This window comes from Homo sapiens, chromosome 6, assembly GCF_000001405.40.
Source record: "Homo sapiens chromosome 6, GRCh38.p14 Primary Assembly".
In the NCBI taxonomy this organism is placed as follows: domain Eukaryota; kingdom Metazoa; phylum Chordata; class Mammalia; order Primates; family Hominidae; genus Homo; species Homo sapiens.
Genome location: NC_000006.12, coordinates 163,304,797 through 163,325,639, shown reverse-complemented (window position 1 = coordinate 163,325,639; position 20,843 = coordinate 163,304,797). Strand labels below are relative to the sequence as shown.

The 20,843-nt window shown below is 44.3% G+C and overlaps 1 protein-coding gene and 1 long non-coding RNA gene across 5 annotated transcripts in view, besides 2 other annotated features; one reads left to right on the top strand and one right to left on the bottom strand.

Annotated features, from left to right (window-relative positions):
* The first annotated feature begins 1,166 nt into the window (after nt 1-1,166).
* Nucleotides 1,167-15,655, top strand: PACRG-AS1 (PACRG antisense RNA 1). The gene is made up of 6 exons (NR_028390.1): nt 1,167-1,270; nt 1,571-2,249; nt 5,081-5,239; nt 6,729-6,846; nt 11,795-11,883; nt 14,670-15,655. It is a non-coding gene; the product is annotated as a PACRG antisense RNA 1 (long non-coding RNA).
* Nucleotides 3,556-4,056: an enhancer, noted in NCBI's record as "H3K4me1 hESC enhancer chr6:163742616-163743116 (GRCh37/hg19 assembly coordinates)". NCBI's record gives its function as "activates a minimal SCP1, AML or CMV promoter by ChIP-STARR-seq in primed H9 embryonic stem cells {active_cell/tissue: H9 hESC(primed)}" and the evidence as "EXISTENCE:reporter gene assay evidence [ECO:0000049][PMID:30033119]".
* Nucleotides 10,140-20,843, bottom strand: part of PACRG (parkin coregulated) — a 588,369-nt gene continuing 577,665 nt past the window's right edge. For 3 of the 4 annotated variants that reach the window (NM_001080378.2, NM_001080379.2, XM_047418208.1), the window contains one exon: nt 10,140-10,813. In NM_001080378.2, coding sequence (NP_001073847.1) covers nt 10,653-10,813 — 161 coding nt within the window. In that variant the 3' untranslated portion in view covers nt 10,140-10,652. Of the gene's footprint in view, nt 10,814-12,744; nt 12,862-20,843 lie in introns of all 4 variants that reach the window. The other variant, NM_152410.3, reaches the window with a different exon arrangement.
* Nucleotides 15,166-16,365: an enhancer, noted in NCBI's record as "P300/CBP strongly-dependent group 1 enhancer chr6:163730307-163731506 (GRCh37/hg19 assembly coordinates)". NCBI's record gives its function as "activates an origin of replication core promoter dependent on BRD2, BRD4, P300/CBP, MED14 and CDK7 cofactors, with strong dependence on P300/CBP, by STARR-seq in HCT116 cells {active_cell/tissue: HCT116}" and the evidence as "EXISTENCE:reporter gene assay evidence [ECO:0000049][PMID:35650434]".

Here is a 20,843-nt window from a genome sequence, read left to right as displayed (position 1 = left end):
ATTTTGCAGATGGAGAAAGTAAGGCTGGAGAGTAAAGGCAGAGCTGCAGTTTAGTTGGCCTTGAATCCTAACCAAAGGGTTTTACTCTCCACCTCACACCGGTCTCTAGCCCTCATTTTGTGTTTTAGATTGGAGGCCAGTTTCTCTGCTCTCAAGGCTCGCCTAGACTATCTGTGTATCCAAATGACACCACCTCTTTTTAACTCCAATCCACCATGCTGTCACAAAGCCCCTGAGATCTTTGTCTACTTGTTTTACAGCCCTGCTGTGAACAAACATTGGGATCCAGATTTTAACTTTTTTTTTTTTTTTTGGAAAAACAGTACAGTGTTTGCTCTTTAGTGGGAACTACGCTCCCAGTCCTGCAGGCTGGCATGGTGCAGTGAATTTCCACATGCCTTCACCCCTGTGAGCTCCACAGCAACCACAGCCGGGAGGGCGGGCCTTCCTCCGGCAATGAAGGGTGGCCTCCCTTGCGGCTGAAGAAACAGAAGCCGTCCACACATTTTCACTGCTTTGCAGATTCGTACAGATCTTTTCCAGAATAAAGCATTATTCGGCCAGGACGCCTCAGCCTCTTCTGTGAGATGTGGTGGTATTTGTCAGCTATGTGGCCTTTGCCCTGCTGGTGACATGAGTAGCTATTGAAACAGGTCTCCAAGACTCAATCTCTTCCTTCTCAATAAAGCATTTTAATCAATTTGGTTGTTTGTTTGGGTCATATTTGCTGAGCCCTGAATTGATGGAAAAATCACTCCAGCAGGACGTAGCCTCTCCCCTCTCCACAAACAAAGATCCACCACATAATATTAGATTGAGACAAATATTGTCACAGTTCAGGAATGTTTTGCAGTTGGGTTCTCTCTAAACTGCAAACATTCTTTTAATATGGGGAATTCCTATGAGAGCTGTAAAAATCCTACTCATATGACATATTACCCCCTCTTGAATGAAGCCTACTGAAGAGTTATTAAAAATTTACCTTGTTGTCAATAAAGTTCTTTATGGGACATTTTTCTGGCTGCATTTTAATGTCATGTTCGCTGCCCCAGATGTATGAGGAAGGAGACAAAAAGGCCATTTAAAGCTCTGGTTCTAGAATGCCCCTATTATGCATTTGATGAAATCAAGTGGCATGTGGGTTTGCTGTATGTGGACATAGTTTTGGCTGTAGGTTGTTTTCACGAACCCACAGAGACAGAAACCTGCGGCAATGGAGAAAATGCTAATACAGACATCTTACTTCAGTGTCTGGCAAACAAGATTATACGTAAGTCATTTTAGAAGAACTGATTCTGATTATTTGAATTTTGAGCCTCCACTAGAAAGATTTCTTTCTGTATTAATGGAAATGATTCATTTTTTAAAAAAGTCTCAAATGTAAAGACAACAATTACATCGAATATTTCGAAATGCCATGTTGAACAGTGAAACTTCTAAGCCTTTATTTTATTATTATTATTTTTTTGATAACACTTGAAGCAAAGATAATAGGATTTTACAATATTGGCTTTTTACTGATGGACTGAAAGCACATTTTTCTAAGGTACACCTATTATTCTTGTTCTAGACTGAGGACGATGTAGACGTCAGCTTCCCTGACGAGGGAAGCTGCAGCTTTCTGATGATTCCTGAAGCCTACATTCTATTAATTTCCCCGAAGAGCCCTATTGCCTAATGGAACATTGTGAGAATGGCCAGTCTGGAAAGCAGGATCAGTGGAGCTGGCTTCTGGCTCACTGGCTTTCAGCTGAGCCTTCCAAATGGCTGGGAATGAACATCCAGTTAGAAGCCTCGGTTTGGAACAGTGGTTCTCAGACTTCATGGTGTGTGACAGTCACTGGGGAACTTGTCCAAACACAGATTGACAGACCCCATCCCAAAGTTTCTGATTCAGCGGCTCTAGGGAGGGCCCTAAGAACACGAGCTCCTCTTCCCAAGCTCCCAGGTGACGCTGAGGTTGCTGCCCCGGGAGCCCACTTTGAGAACTGCTGATCTAGGGTGTGCTGGGGTAACTCTGGCTGTCAGAGGGGTCAGGACACTTGGTCTCCTTCTCTTTGGTCTCACTGAGAATGTGAATGTGAATGGCCTTTTGAGGCCACTTGCACTGAGTCCTCTACAGGGCACACTGGACGGCGGGGGAGCGTCTGGAAGGGGTCTGCACACCGGCTTGCAGCCTCAGTGATGCTCATCTAGTGCGGGTCCTGCGTGGTCCCCAGAGGAACCCAGTGAGAAATCCGGAGGAGACGGTGAGTGTGTCACGTGGCGTCCACACCAGACCCCTGCTTAGGCTGCAGCTCACACGAAGGATGTTGGTCTGTCTTTGAACAGACAGGTGGGCCCTGCATTTCCGGGAGCTTTGGAGGGTATTTAAAATACTTTCCTCTGACTTGGTTTAAACAGAATAATGAACACCTTTCTCCACGAGAGCAGCATCTATTTGTGTTTTCCAAAGCCTGAGTGTCTCCAAGGAATCTTACCTTGGGCTGATAATTCTTCCCTCAAGACAGCAGTACCTTTGACACAGGACACGCTCCAAAGCCCAGCGCCCCTACCTAAGTCAGACAGGAGGGCAAAGCCCAGCGCCCCTGCCTAAGTCAGACACGAGGGCAAAGCTCAGCGCCCCTGCCTAAGTCAGAGATGAGGGCAAAGCCCAGCGCCCTGCCTAAATCAGACAGGAGAGCATAGCCCAGCGCTCCTGCCTAAGTCAGACAGGACGGCAAAGCCCAGCACCCTGCCTAAGTCACACACGAGGGCAAAGCCCAGGAGTATCACTCTGTTGCCCAGGCTGGAGTGCAGTGGCGGGATCTTGGGTCACTGCAACCTCTGCCTCCTGGGTTCAAGAGATTCTCCTGCCTCAACCTCCTGAGTAGCTGGAATTACAGGCGAGCACCACCATGCCTGGGTAATGATTGTATTTTTAGTAGAGACGGGATTTCACCATGTTGGCCAGGCTGGTCTGGAACTCCTGACCTCAGGTGATCCACCTGCCTCAGCTTCCCAAAGTGTTGGGATTACAAGCGTGAACCACCGGGCCCAGCCAACAAATGTCTTTTGAAGGCTGACTAGGCCCAGGGCGTGCTTCCTGGCGAGGGAGATGTCATAGTGAAAGGCGCTCCCTGCTCTCACAGAGCTCACGCCCTAGGGTAGAGACACACGGTAAAGAAATAAGTGAAAAATCAAGCATATAGGTACTGCAGTCAGACACTCGTCCATGTTTTGAAGCAAGTAAAGCCATAGGCGACAGAGATTAAGAGGTATGGCGTCAAGGAAGGCCCTTCTGAGGTAGCGACACTTAGCAGAGACCACAGTGAGGCCAGGGGAGGGAGGAGGCTCAGTGAACACTGTGGGGGGCGTCCAGGCACCGCTCTGTGGGGAGGATATGCTGGGCCTGCTGCTGGAGCAGGGACGAAGCCAGCACAGCCTCTGCCCACAGAGGGGCCCAACACCACCAGGAAGAAACAGCTCAGGAGGAACCAGGGCCACATCCTTCAGGCCGCACATCACCCGCAGCAGAGATCTGGAATGTGCCCCAGCTGGGAGGCAGAAGCCGTTGGAGGGTTGAGAGCATGGGGACCTTATTGGCGTTTAAAGGGTCACTGACTTCCGGGTAGAGGATCCGGCCACCCCTTGCAAGGTTGGGGGTCAGCTGGGGGAGCCAGGGACCTGGACTAGAGTGAGGACGAGGGGCTGGGACTTGGTCAGATGCAGATCTTGAAGGTGTCGTAGACAGGATTTGTACTGGACTGGGTGCAGACGTGGAAAAAAAGGAGGATGAATCCCGGCATTTTGGTCCCCGTGGTGACGTGAGCTCCTGTTCACTGAGCTGGAGCCCTCCGCGGGGAGAGGGTGCGGGGTCGGAGAGTGGCGGGAGTCAGGTGGGTCCATGCATTCGGTTTGGATCGATCTCTTCGGCATCCTGGGGGAAATGCCCAGCAGGCGCTGGGGAAGTTGAGGCCAGAGAGCAAATGTGAGAATCGGCCATGCACAGACGGCATGTGAATCCGTGGGATTGGTCGGGTCACCTGGTGGAAATAGAGGTGAGGCAGAGGCTTGAGTTGGGAGGCCTGCGGTGTTTAGAGGTGAGGAAGAGGAGAAAGACGCAGCAAAGGTGACTGAGAAGGAGCAGTCCGTCTCAGCATGCATGCACCTCCCACACAACACGGCCTGTCCTTACTGCAGTGGCCCTCAGGCTCCCTGGGTGGTTGTCACTAAGCAGGTGGACGGTACATTCTCTCTTCTCCTTCTCTCAATGGAAGCACTGCCATTTCTTAGATGGAAATTACAACATCTGTAAATGCCCTCAAATTATCTTCAAAATACTGTATGTCATGTGCACTTGTCTGGGTAGAGGGTGCAGAGTTTCCAACAGATTCTTAAGGCAATGCTAGGGAATATTTCCCAATAAATTCTAAATAAAAAAGAAGCTAAAGTAATAAATTTTTACACTTATCAAGCACAGGAAGAGAACAAATCCTTTCACCCAGATTTAAACTTACAGAAACTTGGCAAAGTAAAAATGAATAAAGAATCCAAGTACCTTACAAATATTCCCACTGGGGAAAGCAAAAGTCAACCTCTGTAACAGAGAAATGCAAATCAATCAATGTGCAAAGGGCACTTTCCACCACATATCTGTCCATGTCATTAACTACTGATAGGAGAATTGGGTAATTGCCAAGTTACTTGTAAGAAGAACCGAGCTATATCAGTAGTGAGATCTAAAATTGGATAAGATTGTGCAAGCAAAAGGAATAGAATCATTTCTTATTGAGGCAACCATGGAAAGAATCTTAGAAAGTTTCTTCTATAGCTACTACACGCTTCTTTAATATCATCACCAGCACTTGAACTGGAGAGCAAACTAGGGTTTGCTAGTTAGGGTTTCTTCAAAACAAAGCTTGACTTCTGTTTTGGATTTCCATGCAGCTTGCATGCATCCACACATTTAAGACTGCAAAAGAAACAAAGATGATGGGAGATATTTTTAGAATCGGATTCAACACCGGTACATATCTTCCTGTTGCAAAGTGCTCTTGATTAAGCCAAGTATACTTGTATTATTGTCTTCTCATTGCAGGACAGAGAGGAGGATGACTTCCTTTTGTATTACAACGTCATGATTACAAATAATCATAATAGAGTGCCCATTTTAAAGTGGCCTTTCCCTCCAAGCACACAGGAGACTCCCTCAGATTCCCTAGGAAACCAAAGAAATACTGAATCTACTCCACAAAAGGTAATAGAAACTTTAAGTCCCTTCAAACAGGCGATTTTAACAAAAATGGGGTTGGTTGTGCTTGGGAAAGCTCTTTTTTCTTGGTCTGAAAAAGAATATGGTGTTTTACGAGCTGCCTAGCAAGCCTCCAGTGGACACCTGTGTGGAGGTGGCAGATCCTGGAGAATGGGTACCGCCCTGGTTACCTCTGTGTGACTAGGCACTGCTGACCCACAAGCTGTGTGACCGCCAAGGTCCTTCCGGGCCCTGGATGTTTGGTGAACATGAATCGACGTGGTGTGAATGGGAACTTGGTCAAAGTCAGTTTCACTTTGCTGAAAGCAAAGCCTCCTTATATCTTGGAAGTGTCACATTTTGGACAAACTTTGATCAATGGGTACATTTCTAATGAAGGAAGCTTTCGTAGAGGGAATTGTTTGGAAAGCATTTGAGGCTTTCTGATTCCATTTAAAATCCTATTGGAGAATCAAAATTTATATTTAGAAAAATATCCACAGGGCATTTCCCCAGGTATAGTACTCCTTTGAAAGAAGATCCATCTTTGAGCCTCCCAGCTTTTGCTTGCAAAAGGCTCGTGATGAACTTCTCAAAATAACCAACAGAAGTAAAACAGGCAGCAGTGCATGTTGAAACAGACTTAAAACTCTTTAGTTTTAGCTTCTCTAAATTAGCAGTCTGAGATGTCCCACGACCTATACTGAAACTTCGCTAGAGATCCATGGAGGTCAACCCCAGAAGGACTTAAGGGTTTTTTTTGTTGTTGTTGTTGTTTAAGATATCATCTTCAGCTTTGAAAATAATATTTCCTAAGGATGTAACCATTTCACAGAGTTTTTTAACTCTCTCTCTCTCTCTCTCTATGTATATATATATATATATATATATATATATATATATATATATATATATATATGTATATATTTGAGATGGAGTTTTGCTCTTGTTGCTCAGGCTGGAGTGCAATGATGCAGTCTCAGCTTACTGCAACCTCTGCCTCCAGGTTTAAGCAATTCTCTCACCTCAGCCTCCCGAGTAGCTGGGATTACAGGCTGCTGACACTACGTCTGGCTTATTTTTTGTATTTTTAGTAGAGACGGGGTTTCACCATGTTGGCCAAGCTGGTCTCAAACTCCTGACCTTGGGTGATCTACCTGTCTCAGCCTCCCAAAGTGCTGGGATTACAGGTGTGAGCCACCACGCCCAGCCTGAACGCCATATTTTTGACTGACATTTCTCATGTAGAGTCAGGCCATAAAAATCATGTGCCATTCTTCCCACCCGATGGGCAGGGAAGGATACTCTCATAGCGAGCAGTGTGCCCATGGAGATGACTTCCAGGAGGGTGTGTGGGCTGCAAATCCTGGCATCCGTCTCACTTGGGCCTGTTGGGGGCCAGAGACCACCCACCCCGGCCAATGAGGGCTCAGCAGACATTAGATCCCGGCTCTCCTGGGGGACCACACGATGACGGAGCACCTGTTTTCTCCAGGTACTTGGTTGGCTGCTTCCCCAGGAACATCCCTCCATCCTCACGGGTATCCCGCCATGGACCTCGGGGAGCCCTGGACAAACATGCATGTGTGCGACGCTTGTAACAAACCTGCAAGGTAGACCTCATACAGCCCAGTTTTGGAAGAGGGAGTTGAGTTTTAGAGCATTTACATAATTTGCCCAAGGTCACAAGACAGCTACTCAGTGGTAGAAAGATACTTCAAACGCAGTTCTGCTGGGCTCCCACTCCTGCACCAGAACCATTATGCTGTAGTATCTATCATCGTGTCCTCGCAGTGACCTGGGAAGAGAGGCTGTACTGCAGGCGAGGAAAGACAAAGTGACTCGCTCCAGGCTGTCCAGCTCCTGAGTGACCGGCTCAGCCTTCCCACCCAGCTCCCCTACCCTGGCGTCCAAGATCTCATTCCTTGCCTCCCTCTTAACTGACTTGAACACCTGAATGGTGTCTTCGAGTAAATGTAACAGTCATAAGAGGACAAACAAAAACCCTTGCCTAATACTCAGTCCCCAGTATTTCCCACTTTTCATCATTCCGTTCCTTTAGCTGTCTTAGAAAGGTGGTTTCAGTGTATAAATGTAGCAGGTGGAAGAAGCTGTTGTCTTGCTCAGAGGCCGGAAAGCTGCTGACATTTCCTCCTTCTCTGTTGAGTTAATCAGAAATTATTTGGCAGGAGACCCGGGTATTATTTTAGAAGGCAGACGTAGGTGGGCTGACCATCGGAAAAAGCAGTCTTTTCTAATTCTATTAAAATAACAAAAATGTGGGTTTTGGGGTTTTATTTTGCCTTTTAATTTCCAGAGAACATGATACTATCTATATAGTTATTTTGGGTTTTTGCAAAATTATCTTCTTTTCACAAGAAACTCACCATTGCACGTAAGAAGCATCATATTGTCTGAGGAGTTCTCAGATATATATATCGCTCTGCCCGGGTAGAGAGTAGTCATGTTTTGTACTTGTTTTTCTTTGAAATAAAAGTCTGACAGGTATCAGAAACTCTGGTAGCACTTTTCATAGGTTACCCCTACAGCTTATAATTCCGCAGCACGCAGGGGACATCCCCACTTCACAGCTGAGGCGATGTGAGTTTCAGAGAGGTTCAGTATCTTGCTCAAGGCAGCAGAGCAAATAAGTGACAGAACTCGTCAATGAAGCCTGATTTTATTTTATTTATTTTATTTTTTTGAGACAGAGTCTTGCTCTCTCACCCAGGCTGGAGTGCAGTGGCACAAACTCAGCTCACTGCAACCTCCACTTTCCGGGTTCAAGCGATTCTCCTGCCTCAGCCTCCTGAGTAGCTGGGATTACAGGCGTCCGCCACAAGGCCTGGCTAATTTTTGTATTTTTTAGTAGAGACAGGGTTTCACTATGTTGGCCAGACTGGTCCCGAACTCCTGATCTTAGGTGATCTGCCCACTTTGGCCTCCCAAAGTGCTGGGATTACAGGCATGTGAGCCACCGTGCCTGGCCAAAGCCTGATGTTTTAATTCCAAAGTTAGGGCTCTTGGCTAAGTGGCCAGGTCTTCTTGCTCCTCTACCAGGCAGTTTTCATGAGTATAATGAAGAATCAGCAGCCAGAGCTGCCAACAGAGCCGGGTCAGAGCCATTCCAGCACCAGCCTTCAAAGGCGCCAACAAGCCACGGTCCTTCTAACTAATAACCTTATGGACTTTGGTGTTCCTTTTGATTGTTTCACTGACGCCAGCTGATGGATGCAATTGAATGTCATAGTTTGCAGAATAACCTGCCTTAATCTGTGGATGTCTACTTCTATCTGTGCCTTTACCAAATATTATGCATCAAAGTCAATTTGTCGGCCGGGCGCGGTGGCTCATGCCTGTAATACCAGCACTTTGGGAGGCCGAGGAGGGCAGATCACCTGAGGTTGGGAGTTCAAGACCAGCCTAACCAACATGGAGAAACCCTGTCTTTACTAAAAATACAAAATTAGCCAGGCATGGTGGCGCACACCTGTAATCCCAGCTACTTGGGAGGCTGAGGCAGAAGAATCGCTTGAACCCAGGAGGCAGAGGTCATGGTGAGCTGAGATCACGCCATTGTACTCCAGCCTGGGCAACAAGAGCAAAACTCCATCTCAAAAAACAAAAAACAAAGTCAGTTTGTCTTATCCAATCACGCCTCTCCCTTCACCGTAGAAAATGCTTACAGAAACAGGACGGTAGCTCTTTAGATGCTAGATTGCACATGCTGAGACAGTAATAAGGGGAAATGAACGATGAGCTCATTTTCAAAATTGGTGTTTGCCTTTAGAAACTTATGCCTTAGATAGTGAAAACAGTTTGGAGGCTGACGCTTAGTGCATGGAGAAACACATTCCACTTCTCCACTTCTTTTTTTTTTTTTTTTGAGATGGAGTTTCGCTCTTGTTGCCCAAGCTGGAGTGCAATGGCACGATCTCGGCTCACTGCAACCTCCGCCTCCCAGGTTCAAGCAATTCTCCTGTCTCAGCCTCCCAAGTAGCTGGGATTACAGGCGCATGATGCCATGCCTGGCTAATTTTTGTATTTTTAGTACAATCGGGGTTTCATCATATTGGTCAGGCTGGTCTCGAACTCCTGATCCACCCCTCTTGGCCTCCCAAAGTGCTGGGATTATAGGCGTGAGCCACTGCACCTGGCCTCATTTCTTCATTTTATGCAGAAGTTGCACTTTGCTACAGGAACGAGATACTTTCGGCTATGTATTTCTAAGCAGTTACAGCATCTCTCAGGTGTGCAAAGTCAGTGTTCCATCTTTATGAAGTTTTCTGGGCTAAGTTTCAAATGCCTGAAGCTCCCATCTGACGTGCCTGAAGAGCCACGATCTGGGGCTATCTTACAGTTGCTCTTCCCTTTGGGCACTTTTTTCTTTTTCAATTGAATGAAAAAGTGCATGTCTTTTGTCTTTTTTTTTTTTTCCTTTTTGGTCTCAATAAAATCCCCAAAAATGGCCATCAGACCCACTGCGTGCTATGAGAAGTCATCCAACTAGTGGGAGGAAGCAAGGAAGAAGAGTTGCCAAGGAAGAATTTTGATCTGTTTCAAGGAGTAATCATTAAGATACATATAAGTCATTTTCAAAAATAATTAAAAGCCCTAAACAAACTGCCAGATAACACTTTTGTCAATAACACACCAGGTCCTGAGATGCAGTGTGCCATACGGTGGAGAGACAAGGATTCAAGCTAGCCCTTGTTTTTTTTTTTTAAACATATTTGCCAAGTTACGTTTCACACGTAACCCTGACCCCATCCTCTCCCTAGTTTTCCCCTACCTGCACCCAAATATAAACTGAAAAGCCCCTGAAGCCCAGATCACTAGTAGGCTAGAGGCATTAATTACAACTGTAGCTGAGGTTATAATGGGCTGGAAAAATTTCCTGCTGTAATTGGAATATAGATTCAACAGTTTTATTGAATGTCAAAGCACATTATTCCGCACAGCTGCTAGAGAGGCACTGCTGAACCCATGCTTCTCTTCCATGACAAACACCTAGTAAGCAGTCAGCATAAACTCTTCCCTTACAACCTCTGACATCACCCCCAGGGCAGGCACACACAGAACAGCAATTGCTGAATTGCATATGAAAATTATAGTTTATTGTCTATACAACTGAAGGTTTAACTCGGACTCCTGCTTCTGTCGGAGCTGTATAAAGAAGCAATTCTTCTCTTAGAACAAATAAGCACAGTACACTATTGTAATCTAAGAAACAGACACTATTTATGTATTGGAAAGCCTTGCTCTCAATAGGGCTAACAGTCCAATGGCCCATAAGCCACTATTTTAGCAGCTGTAGAAAAGAAAGCTGTGGAAGTCACAAGGAATGAGATGCTAAAAGCAACAGAGACAGATGATCCCAACACCAACGGGAGGTTTCAAGTCCCAGCTGCTGCCACTGTTAGTTTAGCAAGCAAGACTCGTAGGTTGGGACCACGTACTTAATGTTGATAAAGGCATTTTCTCCTCCGTAGCGCTCGAAGGCCTCCAGTGTCTCCTGGATCAAGTCCCCAATGTTCTCCCTCTTCTGCTGGCTGTAGTCAATGCCGTCTCCGGAGTTCACTGGTGCATGCAAACACACAAAGAGGCCAGTTACTTCTCTGCAATTTCCCGAAAAGTCCTACACAGTCTAGGCATTTTCTCTGAATGCTTATTAGGAGACACAAACATGCAAGATTTTTACACGATCTTGCGGAGTTTTAAAAGCAGTGGCAACTGTACAAAAATACCAAGTCCCAGATTGGAGCCGATGAAAAATAACCTAAAATAAAGGAATAACAGAGTAAACAAAAGTAAGTGAATCACAGTTACAAGAAAGATGACAAGTCGGGGACTCTCTTTCTTGATCTATTATATACAGAGTGTTCTCTTGGGCCCTGAGTTTTCCAAAATCACAGCACGGTGTACTTAGAAGGAACAGTCTATTGTGAGATCAGGCTGTTCGTTCCGTGTGATTTAAAATGGATCTGCTTTGGAATGAGGCTTAGCCCCCACCCGCATCTCTGCTGCTTTTGAACACATGGCAAACTCTTTCTCCTGAATCCCAGTAATCCAAGTGTTCAGTTCCTTGAAATCATTTTGCTCATTCCAGGTGCAGGTGGGACAGGAGGAAGCTGCTTCTCCTGCCCTGGCTGCTCCCGAACTATCACTCAATGCTGGGATGACAGCTATTTGTCAGTCAGGGCTTTGCAGGGAGTTTGTGCCACTGCTAGTTTTGGAGTCCCCAAGTCCGGGGAGGTGTGTCAGCTGCAGAGTCTGGAAGTGACCGCTTCAGCTGCCTCTGATGCTACGAGGGAAGCAATTCCTAGGGTGGCCTTCAAAGGCCAGGAACCTATGGCTAAGAGCCTCTCCTCTACACCACAGACTCAATCTCAAATCACTAAGGAAAGAGATATGCGATTGTATCCAAGCTGCAGGAGTTACCAAGGGTGAGGGAGTCTGACAAAAATGGGGCCCCTTAGTTTCCATTCTGCGTGTAGATATTCCACAATTGTTTTCTCTAACGATAGTCATTCCACGCTTTCTGTTGTATTCCACTCCTAGGTTACCAAGGGCTTCAACGACATTTATTCTCCCAGCAAGCAAGTCATGAGTGTGTCCTGCCTTATCTATGGTGGAAGGAAAGTACACAGGTGGGCTGGGAGGACCCAGTAGGATGAGGGTGACAGCTCAGGCCTAGAGAGTGCCATGGGGCCAGGGACCTTCAGTGCAACTTGAAAATGTGCATTTCACCAGAGAAAGAATTCATTTTATTCATATTTCAAGTGTAGACCCACAATGTTTATCTTGTTTGAATGTGAAAATAATAGAGGGAAAAATGGTGTTTCCAACCTTTTATCCTTAATTAGTCATTCGAGACATTTAAAAAAGACTTAGTAATGGTTCAGACCAGAATAAATATAACAATTACAATCCTACACAGCACAGGGAAGCAGTTCTTTTGCTTGATTTTTCCAGAAACTTATTAGAGAAATATCACTGTCTTCTGTGATATACACACAATAAATTTCTATCCTTATTCTTTTCTTTTGGTGAGGGTGAAGGCAGGCAGATATATTACTAATTTTCAGAAAAAAAAAGATTGTGAGTCACACAACTGTAGTGCATGTCATTTATTCATAATAAATGACCTTAAAATGGTTCACAAAGCCATTGTGATTAGGTGGGTTTTTCGTTCCTCATAGTACATGTGTTTGTGCTGTCACAGGTAAAGCTGAATTTCAATTTATTTAAAGTTTGATCATCCCAAATATTCAAAATGTTATATATATATATGTATATATATATACACACACGAATGAGAGAGAGGAACAGAGAGAGAGAGAGAGAGAGATGCTGGATACAGTGACTCATGCCTGTAATACCAGCACTTTGGGAGGCTGATGTGGGAGGATGGCTTGAGACCAGGAGTTTGAGACCAGCCTGAGCAACAACAGCAAGACCCCATCTCTATAAAAGAAATTAAAAAATTAGCTAGGTGTGGTGGCATGTACCTATAATCTCAGCTACTTGAGAGGCTGAGGTGGGAGGATCACTTGAGCCCAGGTGGTCGAGGTTGCAACGAGCCATGATCGCGCCACTGCACTCCAGCCTGGGCAAAGAGTAAGACCCTGTCTCAAAAACAAACAAACAAAACAAAAAGAATATATCAGATAAACAAGAGATAAGATTTTGAAACAAAAGGGTCCTTGCCCTATTGTTTTTGAGGAAAACAACGATACACTTTGTAAAAACAAACATGTAAATGGATATGCATTTGAAGTCCACCGGTTTTTCTGTTTATATTTCTTAAGATTGACATGGTGTTCGGAGGCGTGAGAAGGTGCAGGCAGGAATGGCTGCACGGGGGAGATGAAGCCCGGTGGCTCCGCTTGTGGGGAGCCTTCCACGAAGGACTTTGAGTTGGATTGAGAGAGGAGGAGGAAGCTCGTGTTGGGAGGAGGCGTTGTTGACATTTGCTACAGGTGTAAAGAAAAGATGTTAAGGAAGAAGGTGGGCAGGATGAAAAGCAACAGGGGATTTGAACAGAGGTGCTGGTGGGAGGACCCTGCGTGACAGGGGAGGTCAGCAGCAGAGAATGTGCTTTTTAGAAACAACTTCAGCTTTCCAGGATTCCAACCAAAGCAGGGACAAATGTCCCCTCAGAGTTGGGCTCATCTTTGTGTGCCCCTTCTCCCCAAATTATAGCTGATAAACTCCTCCTAGGCATGAAAGAGGTGGACCTAGGGAGAAGGTGGCATGGCCTGTTTGCATAGGACAGAGCCCATTGCATAAACCCCTGGAGGGCACACGGAAAAGATAGTTGATGATGATGCTGAGTTGTGGCTGCTGTGATCAAGTTCCTTATGGACAAAGATACATACATTAGTCACTCATAAATGGTGCCTTTTGTCGGCATATGAGTCAGAAGGTCAAGAGCTGAATAGACCAGGAGACAGACATATTTTCCTGATGGAGGGAAAGGGCGTGGAAGATCTGCACACAATGGAAAGCTTAAGGCACCTGCTTTTCCACTGCCCCAGAAGGCAGCAATGACAAGCAGAACTTTATCTCATGTTCTTACTTTTAAAAAAAATTTGACCATAGGAGTAAGTAAACTATGTAGCTTTTTTTGTTTTTCCACAGTGTATAACCTCAAATGATAAAAGAACAAAACACAATAGGAGTTGCTTATTCAAAAAGTGAGTTGGAGTTGGAATATTTGTGGTTGCAGAATGCGTATCATTGGGGTAGAAAAAAGACCAAAAAAGGAACACCTCCTTTACTTTTCATGCTGAAACAATGACCCTGCACGGTTTGGGGTCTAACTATGTTGAGAAGCAGGTGAATCATGAGGTCTCCATTTCAAACCTGCTACATTGACAGTTTTTTGAGGGCCTGAAATTGAGATGATTAAGTTTGAACTCACCATTTTAAATACATGCGACACGTGAAAAATACGTTTGTGAGAATAGGACATTAAAACGAATAAACCCAAATGGTTATTTACAATTGTCAATTCTGATTAGGAAAATGACACTTCAATTTAGAAAGCAAGGAGTGGATTTTATGTCTGGGAGCTAGAAAATATACATTGATGATGGAAAAGATATATTTTATTTATAATCAAACAAATAGAATGAAAGCAATGGTTTAAGCCAGACCTGGTGCTTCTGGAAAGATGAGAGGCAGGCAGAGGAGAACGAGGGATTTAGTTTCTGTTCTTGGAGATCCCTCCATGCAGGAGGCATGTGACCTACTGCCTCAAAGTTGTTCTTGGTTAAGAATTATTTTAAGTGCATTTATTCCTCTGAATATTGGTGTTTTTGATGATGTAAGCAGTTTAAGCATGAATAATATGCACACTCATTTTTCTATCTAAACCTCCTTAAACTGTCCCCATGGGATGCTTTCTCTTTCCGGATACCATTTTGTTCAGAACTAGGACGCACGTGTCTATCCCGGTCTCTGGTCTCTTGTCCAGCGATAGCATCCTCCGGGCTGCGTGAACTCAGCTTGGGGCTGTGAAGGGACAGCCGTATATCTTGTCACCGAGGGCCACCGCAATGGGGAGCTGCACCTGACACATTTACATTTCACAAAGATATCTGCCACTCCGTGGACACGGACCAGCAAGAGGCTTGGATGACCTAGGATTCTGATGATGTATTCTCCATTTCAATTCTAGACTGTGTGCAAACTTCATTCTTTCTTCTACGTTCTTTAGTTATGACTATTACAGGAGAAAGGAAAAAATCGAAGGTGAAGGAAGCAAAGACAGAAAGGAAGGACGGTTTGGTGGCCAGAGCGAGGTCTTCCCACGTCACTCCCGGGACGTGTGCTGACGCGTTGCTCCTCCGTCCTGCAGAACGCCGTGGGTCGTGGCAGCAGCTGCAGCTGTTTCACAGGCTGTCCTCCCTGTAGACTAAGCATCTACTCCGCGCTATAGGGCAATGCGAGACAAAAAAGACCCCCGGGAGCTTGCCATCCAGCTGAGGAAGCCTAATTAGCCACGCTTCCTGTAGCATACAGTGGTCACTTTCTCCTCCATGGAAGTATGTCTGGGCCCACGCACCCCACTGCTTCCAGAGCCTCCACGCGCTGTGTGTCCCCCGTGGCGCTTTGCTTGCCACCGAGCCCTGCGTCTTGAGAACTCTGAACGGTTTGTTGTAGTCAAGACACTCGGAGATCCTAGAGACGCGAAAAGCAGGAGGGGAACGTGTGACGGCCACTGCGAGGCTCAGGGAGAATTTAATTCAAATTTGGATTTTTCTCACTCTTACGCTTTGGGGCAATACTGTTAAATGGTAAATATATAGCCATTGTATGAACAGCAATACACAAAGGAGTTATTTGGAAATGAAAGCCTTATTGAAGGCACTGGAAAAATTAAACAAATAAATGTTTCCTTTAGATTGCTCATTCAACATGCCTGAAGTGTTGTTCATTTGATACCGAATAGATGAAGTCATTTATGAACTCTATCTATACTTTTTCGTAATGACTAAGAAAATCCTAAATAGGCACGATTTCAGGAAGGAAGCCCTTCTGCTAATTTTGAGAACGTCCTGGCTGAAGCGGCAGCATCGCACTCTCAAAGGGAACAGCGAGACCACACCGGGGAAGGCAGAGTTGTCAGGTCCACGGGAGGAGAGTCCCGGCCCCAACACGCTCTCCTGCCTGAGATGCCTGAAGAGCTGGAGGCTGTTAGAAGGCAACGAACCAAACATTCTCCCAGGAAACACTAACTTGGGAAACTCCATTAAAAACCACCTGAGTGAATCAGGAAATGGTTAAGAGGTGACTGAGATGATGATAAAACTATCATTACCAGTCTTTCTTCACACTAAATACCTGCTTTCGGAAGCTTGAATTTTATGATGCAACTTGCCAGGCTCAGTAACAACAATGGTTTGTGTTACTTCCTAGGTACACAATAGCTAGACTGTAGAACTGACTGTAGAAATTAGCAACTATCTCAGACAAATACATGACGATTATACTGATAGAACAACATTCACCTTAGCCGCAGAGAGCATGAGACATTGACTCAGGCAGACTGACTCTCTCCACGCACCCAAGGCTGAATGACAGCCATAAAACCAAGGCTCTGAAATAAATAGCTGCGGAGGCCTCGTGGTTCAGCCGCACCGCCATCGGTCTAGGGCTGTGCTCTGGCCGTTGGCATGTGGAGCATTTGCTGCCAGGCGTAGCCACTTTGCACACATGGCGCTTGAGTGAACTCAGGCCAGATCCAAGCTCTTTCCGTACCCAGCATTTGTCGGAATCAAGCCGACTGCAGAAATCGCCTTGCCATGTGTTCCCCACTGGGGCCAGGTAATCTCGCTGAAGCAACACTGAGTGGAATTTAAAAAAAAAATGCTGACAGAAGAAATCAAATAGTTTCTTTCTGGACCAGAAAAGGCATATTTTTGATTCTCAAATGCTGAACTAAAAAATTTCAAGAGCTTTAAGGCCCAAGTAAAAGGATTTTCACCTATTAAGACCTGTAACCTTTGACGTCATCAGTCACAGCTAAAGCTGGCTTTCTTCTGATTGGGTTGCAGTGATGTCATCCGCTGTGGTGAGAGAGAAAGCGAGCCCTGGCGGCCTGGCTCAGGTCTTGGCAGGTTTGTGCAGGTGGAACTCACTGCATTTATTATTATCATGTTTCTTGACGACACTAAGCCATCACAGATTCTCTGTTGGATGATTCTGAATAAATTTTCCTTTTTTTTTTTTTTGAGACGGAGCCTCACTCTGTGGTCCAAGCTGAAGTGTAGTGGTGCAACCTTGGCTCACTACAGCCTCTGCCTCCCAGGTTCAAACGATTCTCCTGCCTCAGCCTCCTGAGTAGCTGGGATTACAGGTGTGCATCACGATGCCCAGCTAATTTTTGTATTTTTAGTAGAGACAGAGTTTTGCCATGTTGACCAGGCTGGTCTCGAACTCCTGGCCTCAAGTGATCCGCTCGCCTTGGCCTCCCAAAGTGCTGGGATCACAGGCGTGAGCCACCACACCCAGCCAAATTTTTCCTTTGTGTTTATTGGATTTAGTAGTTAAAAGATTGAGATGACCAAAACAGAAACTCCTTGTTTGTATTTACTCCTTGTTTTTTAAGCAGAAATGTCAATTTTAGTGAAATAAAGCTAAAAATTTTCAAAAGAAATTTATTCAACAGATAACATATTGCTAAAAAAAGTCATTAACAATAACTCATAATGTTTGCGAATTTAGAAATGGTTGCTTTTGAGTTTTTTTAATATGAATTAAGAAAGGGGAAAAGGAAAGCTACAGGTATATTTTATCTTTTAAGATATTTACAGTTTCAATACCTAGATTAAATTGTCACCATTTGTTTTGCCAGAAATGTGTTTGTTTGGGTTAGCTTGGACTGAATTTACTATATAGAAATAGTGTTACCTGTTTTAGAATAAGAGTTTTCTCCAGTAAAGTTTAGATAATTATAGGGAAACAGCTATGAATTCCAATCTGGTCTTTTCTGGAGGTGAAGGAGTGAGAAAGAAAAGAAAGAGGCAGGGGAAAACCTAGGACCAAATTCATTTTTTTTCTTTTTAAACAATGAGTAAGAGAAGAGCCTTTTGGGGAGAAGCCGTGAAGTTATCTGCTTTTAGAATCCTAAAGAAATGCTTCTTTCACTCTATTTTTTTAGCTTTGCTATGTAACTTTGAGGGGACTCAACTTTTCTCCCCCTTAACCATAATGTGTGTTTCCCCATTTGGAATCCTGGGTGTTTCTGTGTCTGGGCCATGCTTAGCCACTGCTTCCTTGGCTGACTTCATGTTCTCTTGGAAACCGAAGGTTCCCTACATTCCCTTAAATACAACCTTACAATGGATATTTCCAAAGTCTTGGTTCATGGGTGTGTGAATCAAAGTTGCAATGGTTTTTCAACCAAAACTTACAATAACCACGGCATCTGGCACGCTAGAGATGCCCAAGGGCTTACCCACTTCAAATCTTCTCAGATCTTGTTGACATTAATGAAATTCACAAGATTTCTTTCCTCTGAAGATAAAAGCTTTGAAGTAAGCACTCGATTCCCAGCTGGATGTCTCGTTCTCTTTCTCTCTTCTTGACACCGAAGGCTGGGTCACTAAAGCACTAGGTTACTAAGCCATCATATTTCCAAAAGCTTGAGGAAACGTTTTCATCTTCTGAATGGGGCCATTGGTCACCTGAAGAGATCATGAATCTTGGCCTAAGAGTCAATTCAATATCTAAATTTCCCTCACATAGACAATGACAATTTCTAAACAATTGTCGTTGTCCAACTGCAAAGTAGATTCATTTATCTATGAAATGTACAACACTAACAATGGGATCATACTGATATAGTGAAAAGAATACTGGACTTCAAGGCAAATAGCCTGAGATATAATTTTCAATAACTTAGTAGCTATACTATTCAATAACTCACTAGCTATTTAACTATGGGCAGGTTATTTAACTTCTCTGAATCTCAGTTACTGCCTCTGAATAAAGACTGAACTTTGGATGCTCTCTGGTTTCTATTCACCTAATATTACTTTTTATAATATCACAATGTAACTTTGGAATAAGCATTTAGAAATGACAGTTATTCAATGGATGCCTGTATTTCAACTGAAAAGATGATCACAAAGCAACTATGTAATTCTTCAAAGTAAGTCAGAAACCTCATAAGCATCAAAATCAGGTGTCAAGTCAAGTTCTAAGAAAACCTGAAAAGACCAAATGTTTATATAATTAATTCTAGTTAAGAGAGCACTGTGCAAAATTCATATTATTTGTTGACACCCTACATCAAATGCTATTACATTCTGCTATTTCAGTAAGTCTATATAGCTTTTTAAAGACCAATTATATGGGTTAATTTCTTTTTTACATACCAATTGACAATGATTTGGTCAAGACTACAAAAAGGCAAGCTAAGGTCTTCTCTGATTAATTACTGTTTTGACCTGAAAGTTATACTAAGAAAAATAGGTGGGTTCATCAATTTATCCCTCTACTGGATAATTATAACAATAGATTCAGTTATCATTGAATTAAGCTGAATTCAAGCTTGTGAAGTAAAAGCTCATCTCTTTTCTTATTGGCCAACATGATTCGGGGAACAGAGTGCTTCAAAAAAAGAGCAGAGAGTTAAGTCCAGCTGTCTGTGTTAAATCTATTTCTCGCTGTCTTATCTCATGGTGGAGTAATAATAACAACAATATAATGTCATTTACAAAGATTAGGTCATTTAAAACTAAGAATAGCCCTATGAGCTAAATACTATTATTATTCCCCTTCACAGGGGAGAAAATTGAGGTTTTGAGAGGTGAGAAAATGTAGTGAAATGATGTAAGCAGTAAGTGATACTGGGATCCTGAAAAAGAGAAATCAAAGTAAGAATCTGCTGAAGTGCAAGAATGATGGCGGGAAGGTTCAGAAAGAGAGGTCCAAGCATCACATGTCATCACAGCGAGAGCAGGAGGTAGCAGAACATTTGCTACCTACAGAAGAACTTTAGCCCCGTATCATCAGCAGAGAGGTTCCAGGTGAGTAAGTGATGGGGAGATACTGTAGCCACTGCAACCAACCGGGTAGTGTTTCCTAGGATAGTCAATTGCTATGATAAAAAATATCACTTTTTATGACATAGACTATTACACTATCTTTACTTCATTACAGGTCCTTAAAATAGTATCACTCACAGAGATACAGGCAGGATGACAAAAATCAAGGCCGACTGATTTCAAGGACTTTTCTCTCAGTGCCATAAACACATGGTCAGTATGGGCAAAGTCTAGGATCAATTTCACATTTCATACCCCCATCTTTATGGGCATTTATTATGATTTATTTTTAGTCTGGTAGATATTAGTTACATAGTCTTCTAGATGAGGAAATTATAAGGCTTTCATGAATACAAGATAGACGAGCAGGCTGAGCGTGACTGCCCAGGGACGTCATTGCTACTTAGTGGACGGACGCCTGGTATTGGACCAGAGGCACGAGGAGAACCTATAACTGTGGGATCGCAGGAATAGAGTGAGAAGGTAAAAAGGAGGAACCTTCCAAGTATTTGAATGGTCTTAAGAAACAAACCAGAAAGCCACATTGAAGTCACTTATGTTGGGAAAGTTTAGGAATCAAAGTTGAAGGTTCCCATTCTCTACGAAGAGTAGGAGAGTCTCTGGGTTTCCTTCAGGAAAGGGTTCTTGCAGTTCTCCAACAGTTCTTGCTGGAATTGAATGTGGTGTGGAGGCCCTCAGATGGCCCCCTGGTAAGTGCAGAAGGCTCCTGTGAGGAGCACAGGCACCGAGTGTGGGCTCGGAAGATGAAATGCTGCCCTTGGCCCTCCTTTCTTTGTGCAGTTGCTGCTGTGTGGGACACGGTGGGGCCAGGCCTCCCACTCCAGTTCCTCCTGGATCATAGTTAATAGTCTGTTTATCTTTCCATCTTCAAAGCCTCCTCTTCCTGATTTACCCTGCAGAACAATTTATCTCATCATTTCTTTTCTGGTTAATAATCAGTGTCTCCATGTTCTATAATGGATCCGATTCAAAACCCCAGTCGTCTGGCCCCTGTGTGATCTCATCTCCCTCACGAAGCCGGTCACTTG